Source organism: Homo sapiens, chromosome 9 (assembly GCF_000001405.40).
Source record: "Homo sapiens chromosome 9, GRCh38.p14 Primary Assembly".
NCBI classification, from domain to species: Eukaryota; Metazoa; Chordata; class Mammalia; order Primates; family Hominidae; genus Homo; species Homo sapiens.
In genome coordinates this window covers 93,980,792-93,987,635 of record NC_000009.12, presented here as the reverse complement: position 1 = coordinate 93,987,635, position 6,844 = coordinate 93,980,792, and the positions used below count along the sequence as shown (strand labels likewise).

General features: G+C 36.7%; 1 annotated feature.

Moving 5' to 3' along the window:
- Positions 379 to 1,578: an enhancer, noted in NCBI's record as "CDK7 strongly-dependent group 2 enhancer chr9:96748340-96749539 (GRCh37/hg19 assembly coordinates)". NCBI's record gives its function as "activates an origin of replication core promoter dependent on BRD2, BRD4, P300/CBP, MED14 and CDK7 cofactors, with strong dependence on CDK7, by STARR-seq in HCT116 cells {active_cell/tissue: HCT116}" and the evidence as "EXISTENCE:reporter gene assay evidence [ECO:0000049][PMID:35650434]".

Below are 6,844 nucleotides of genomic sequence, written 5' to 3'. Positions count from 1 at the left end.
TTGCGTGGAATATCTTTTCTCCTTTACTTTCAACCTATATGTGTCTTTACAGATAAGGTGAATTTTGGGTTTCTTGTAAGCACCATATAGTTGAGCCACTTTTAAAAATCCATTCATCCAGTCTGTCTTTTAAGTGGAGCCTTTAATTCATTTACATTCAAGGTTATTTTTGGTATGTGAGGTTTTGTTTCTGTCATGTTGTTAATTGTTTTCTAAATTTTTGTTTTTTTCTTTTTCTCTTACTGTTTGTCATTGTGGTTTGGGGGAATGCTGTAGTGGTGCCATTTGATTATTTTCTCTTCCTCCTTTGTGTGATTGCTTTACCAGTCAGTTTTATACTTTCATGTGTTTTCATCATGGTAAATAATATCTTTTCACTTCCATGTTTAGGGCTCCCTTGAGCATTTCTTGTAGGTCCAGTCTATTGGTGATGAATTCCCTCAGCATTTGCATGTCTGGGAAAGACTTTATTTCTTCTTCATTTATGAAGGTTAATCTTGCTGGATGTAGTATTCTTGACGATGGGTTTTTTTTTTTTCTTTAGGACTTAGAATATATTATGTCATTCTCTTCTGACCTGTAAGGTTTCTGCTGAGAAGTCTGCTGTTAGTTTGATGGGGTTTCCTTTGTAATGACTAGATGCTTTTCTCTTGCTGTTTTTAGAATTCACTCTTTCACTTTGTTTTAGACTGTCTGATTATAATGTGCCTTGGTGAAGACATTTTTGTGTTATATTTATTTGGGGGTTACTGAGCCTCGTATATCTGAATATCTAAATCTCTTGCCATATTTGGGAAGTTTTCATCTACTATTTTGTTAAATATGTTTTCTAAACCTTTTGATCTCTCTTCGTGTTAGAAACAAAATGCTTGTTCCTTGGTGCTGCAAAGACTTAGCACTCGAACATAAATTTAAGTTTTTCAACAAGGCAATTTTTACTTCTATTGAAGGGTGCAGCTCATGGATGGAGTAATGGCAAGAGCACGCCTGGACAAGGGAGGAGAAGAGGTTCTTATTCCTGATGCAGGTAGCCCCTACTGCTGTGTCATTCCGCTATTGGCTAGGGTTGGACCGCACAGTCTAAGCTAATTCTGACTGGCTGTTTTAAAGAGAGCAGGGCTACGAGCTGGAGTAGCGGGGTGGATAATTTGGCAGGAAGGGTGGTTACAGAACAGGGGACTCAGGATGATTAAGGTCAGAGGAGGTGACCAGGGGTGACTCAGGATGGAGCAGGTGACTGGGGTGACTCAGGTCAAAGCAGGTGACCAGGGGAACAGATGTGAACTACTGATTAGAACTGGTGGGAAAGTTGTTTACTGAAACTGGAGGCAAAGAGAACCAAGAAGTTAAACTTTAAAATGGAGAATCAAAGAATAAGAGAGCTGAACATACTGATATACTGATTCTTTGAAGAGAAACTTGGAGTTACTATATCTAACATTTGCCATAGGAGATACCAATAATTCATAAATTCTATTGCTTTATATTGTCCAAAATATTTTGAAGACTTTGTTCCCTTTTATTCTTTTCTCTTTATTTTTGTCTGACTGGATTATTTCAAGAGACGTTTCTTTAAGTTCTGAAATTCTTTCTTCTATTTAACCTAATCTATTGTTGAAGCTTTCAAATGTATTTTGTATTTCCTGCAATGAATTCTCCAGTTGCAGAATATCTAGTGTCTTTAAAAAAATCCATCTCCTTGGTAAATAGATATCTTATTCATATCATAAATTGTCCTGGATTCTTTGTATTGGTTTTTCAATTTGCTTTTGCATCTAATTGAGCTTCTTTAAAATCAATATTTTGAATTCCTTATCTGGGATTTCAAGAATTTCTTTTTGTTTAAGATCTATTGCTGGATACTTATTGTGTTTTTTTGGGGCTGTCGTATTTCCTTGCTTTTTCACATTTCGTGTGTCTTTACACTGATACCTGTTTGTGCCTCAGGGTAGTGTATGCTGGCACCTGCGTTGGCAGTTTCTGAAAACTTTTGTTTTGGATATTTTATCTGGTTTTCTGGTTTTTTTTTTTTTTTTTGATAGCTGACAGCAATTCCCATAGCATTTACTCTGTTATGGAGAGAAGTGGAGACATCCATTGAGTTCTTAATTTGAGTTATTATAGTTTTCAATTCTAGAATTTTCATTTGATTATTTTTAATAGTTACCAGTTCTCTAAAAAAATTAAGCAGTTTCTTATTTGATGTATTGATGATATGATATATGAAACATAATTATTTTAAAGTACATGTCTGGTAATTCCAATATCTGGCCCTTCTATGCGTCTGTCTTTGGTCTTACTTTTTTCTCTCAAATTTTGGTCAGTTCTTGCCTTTTTGAATGCCAGCCTAACTTTGATTGAGTGTCAGACTGTGGTTTAAAAATCACAGAGGGAACGTCTCAAAAGACGTTGGATTCTGTCTCATACAGAGAGGATTTGTCTTTGCTTCTGGCAGGAAGTTAATGAGAGGCAGATCACCTTAATCAAACAAAAGGCTGAGCTGATTTAAAGCTGGCTTTGGTCCTTGTAAGAGCTGATATTCTTCCTGTTTGCCTACCTGAGAGCCTGGATGTTTGACAGGGCCTTTTCTGTTTGGCTGACTTTGCATGACAATTATTGTCCCCTAGGCCAATGCCACCACCTACAATCTTGCTCAGCTTCTAGGCCTCTCAGCTACAACAGCATTTGTTACTGGCAAATGTCTTGAGGAGAAAATATACCAGTTATCAAGCTCCCCTCTCTGGGCTTGCTGTCTCTCTGCAATGCTGTCAAAAATATATTTATTTATATTTTGTCCAGCTTTCCTAGTTGTTCTTGGTGTTAATTTGAAACAAGCTAGTCCACCATTGCAGGAAATAAAGCTCAGTCTTAATTTCTTTTTAGTAATACGTATTTTCAAAATTTCAACTTTTATTTCAGATTCAGGGGGCACATGTGCAAATTTGTTACAGGGTATATTATGTGAGGCTGAGTTTTGGGGTATGATTGAATCCATCACCCAATTAGTGAACATAGAACCCAATAGGTAGTTTTTCAACCCTTGCTCCCTCCCCACCTCCCCCTTTCTTATAATCCTGTGTCTATTGTTCCCATCTTTATGTCCATGTGTACCCAATATTTAGCTCCCACTTATAAGTGAGAACATGCAGTATTTGGTTTTCTGTTTCTGCATTAATTTGCTTAGGATAGTGGCCTTCAGCTGCACCCGTGTTGCGGCATGATTTCATTCCTTCTTATGGCTGTGTAGTATTCTATCCTGTATATGTATCACATTTTCTTTATCCAATCTGCCATTGATGGGCCCTAGGTTAATTCCATGCCCTTGTTTTTATTGCAAATAATGCTACAATGAACATATGAGTACATGTGTCTTTTTGGTAGAATGGTTTATTTTACTTTGGGTATATACCCAGTAATGGGATTGCTAAGTCAGATAAGAGTTTTATTTTTAGTTTTTTTAAGGAATCTTCAAACTGCTTTCCACAGTAGCTGAACTAATTTACATTTTCCTCAACAGTGTATATGCATTCCCTTTTCTCCATAGCCTCATCAACATAATATCTTTTGACTTTTTAATAGTAGCCATTCTGACTGGTTTGAGATAATATCTCACTGTGGTTTTGATTTGCATTTCTCTGATGATTAGTGAGGTTGAGCATTTTTTTTCTTATGTTTGTTGGCTGCTTGTATGTCTTCTTTTGAGAAATGTCTGTTTCCTTTGCTCACTTTTTAATGGGGCTATTGTTTTTTGCTTGTTTGTGTATATTCCTTATAGATTCTTGATATGAGACCGTTGTCTGACGCATAGTTTGTGAATATTTTCTCTCATGCTGTAGGTTGTCAGTTTACTAAATTGATAATTTCTTTTGCCATGCAGAAGCTCTTTAGTTTAATTAGGTCTCATCTGTCTATTTTTGTTTTTGTTGCAAATGCTTTTGAGAACTTAGTCATAAATTATGTCCCAAGGCCAATGTCTAGAAGGGTATTTCCTAGGTTTTCTTATAGGATTTTAATCTTTTTATGTATTACATTTAGGCATTTTATCCATCTTGAGTTAATTTTTGTATATGGTGGCATGTAGTTGTTCTATTTTTATTCTTCTGCATGTAGTAAGCCAGTTATTCCAGCACCATTTATTAAATAGGGAGTCCTTTCTTCATTGCTTATTTTTGTCAACTTTGTCAAAGATCAGTTGGTTATAAGGGTTCAGTTTTATTTCTGGGTTCCTATTCTGTTCTGCTGGTTTATGTGTCTGGTTTTTTGTACCAGTACCATGCTGTTTTGGTTACTGTAGCCTTGTAGGATACTTCGAAGTTGGGTAATATGATGCCTCTCACTTCATTCTTTTGGCTTAGGATTGCTTTGGCTATTCAGGCTCTGTTTTAGTACCATATGAATTTTAGAGTAGTTTTTTTCTAATTCTGTGAAAAAATGGAAAAAATGACATTGGTAGTTTGATAGGAATAACATTGAATCTGTAGATTGCTTTGGCTTTATGGACATTTTAGTAATATTGATTCTCCCAATCCATGAGCATGGAATGTTCTTTCATTTGTTTGTGTCACCTGTGATTTCTTTTAGCAGTGTTTTGTAGTTCTACTTGTATAGGTCTTTCACCTCCTTGGTAAGATATATTCCTAGATATATTAGTTCATTTTCATGCTACTGATAAAGACATACCTGAAACTGGGAACAAAAAGAGGTTTAATTGGATTTAGAGTTCCACATGGCTGGGGAAGCCTAAGAATCATGGTGGGAAGTGAAAGGCACTTCTTACATGGCAGTGGCAAGAGAAAAATGAGCCAGAAGCAAAAGCAGAAACCCCTGATAAACCCATTAGATCTCATGAGACTTTTTCACTGTCACGAGAATAACACGGGAAAGACCAGCCCCCATGATTCAATTACCTCCCCCTGGGTTCCTCCCACAACACATGTGAATTCTGGGAGATACAGTTCAAGTTGAGATTTGGATGGGGACACAGCCAAACCATATCACTAGATATTTTATTTTTTGTGGCTAGTGTAAATGGAATTGCATTCTTGATTTGACTCTCAGCTTGAACATATTGGTGTACTGAAATGCTACTGATCTTTGAATATTGATTTTGTATCCTGAAACTTTACTAAAGTTATTTATTAGGTCTTGGAGCATTTTGATGGAGTCTTTAGGGTTTTCTAGGCATAGTGTTATTTCACCAGCAAAGAGACGTCATTTGACTTCTTTTCCTATTTGGATGCCTCTTATTTCTTTCTTTTGTTGATTTCTCTGGCTAGGACTTCCAGTACTATATTGAATAGGGGTGGTGAGAGTGGGCATTCTTGTCTTTTTCCAGTTCTTAAGAGGAATGCTTCCAGCTTTTGCCCATTTAATATGATGTTGGTTGTAGGTTTGTCATAGATGGCTCTTACTATCTTGAGGTACGTTCCTTCAATGCCTAGTTTATTGAGGGTTTTATCATGAAGGGATACTGGGATTTATTGAAAGCTTTTTCTTCATCTGTTGAGATGATGATATGGTTTTTGTTTTTAATTCTGTTTATGTGGTGAATCACATTTATTGATTTGTGTATGTTGAACTAACCTTGCATCCCGGGAATAAAGTCTACTTGGTCATGATGAATTAACTTTTTGATATGCTACTGGATTCAGTTTTCTAGTATTTTGTTGAGGATTTTTGTGCCTATGTTCATCAGAGATATTGGACTGTAGTTTTTGTTTATTGTGTCTTTGCCAACTTTTGGTATCAAGATGATGCCAGTTTCATAGAATGAGTTAGGGAGGAATCCCTCTGTATTAGTCTGTTCTCCCATTGCTGTAAAGAAATACCTGAGACTGGGTAATTTATAAAGAAAAGAGGTTTAATTGGATCATGGTTCTGCAGTTTGTACAGGAAGTATAGTGGCTTCTGCTTCTGGGGAGGCCTCAAAAAGCTTCCAATCATGGCAGAAGGCAAAGAAGGAATGAAGCACTCCACATGGCCAGAGCAGTAGGAAGAGAAGAAAGGGGAGGTGCCACACACTTTTAAACAACCAGATATCATGAGAACTCACTCACTCTTGTGACCACAGCACCAAGGGGGGATGATGTTAAACCATGAGAAACTGCCATGATCTAATCACCTCCCACCAGGCTCTACCACCAGCGTTGGGGATTACATTTAAACATGAAATTTGGGTAGGGATACAGATCCAAACCATATTACCCTCCTTCTTGATTTTTTGGAAAAGTTTCAGTTGGATTGGTACCAGCTGTTCTTTGTACGTGTGGTAGAATTTGTCTGTGAATTCACCTGGTGCAGGGCTCTTTTTGTTGGTAGGTCTTTTATTACTGATTCCATCTTGGAACTCATTATTGGTCTGTTCAGGGTTTCAATTTCTTCCTGATTTAATCTTGGGAGGTTGTATGTTGCCAGGAATTTATCAATTTTCTTTTAGTAATATTTTTTTTGTGCTGGAGAGGGCAAAGGTATACCCCATAATGAAATACATGCAACCAAAATCTTCCCTGTATTCAAGGCTAACTTTAAATTTTTGAACATCAAGACCTCAAACAAGGAACAGACCTGTGCCTAAATAACTATAGTATACACACCCTTCAATAAAGCAGATGAAAATCTGAATCCTTAGTTCAGAATCCCTGAACTAAGAAGATTTCAGGCAGAAGAAATTTCCCACCATGATACATGCAAATACCTTATCGGAAAAGGGCATGTTCACCTCTGATACCACACCTACTGTATTTAAACCTCACAGCAACTCCACGAAATAAGTTTCATCAGTAATGCCATTTTACAGAAAAGGAAATTGAGGCATAGAGAAGTGAGGTGAAATAATTTGCTTGAA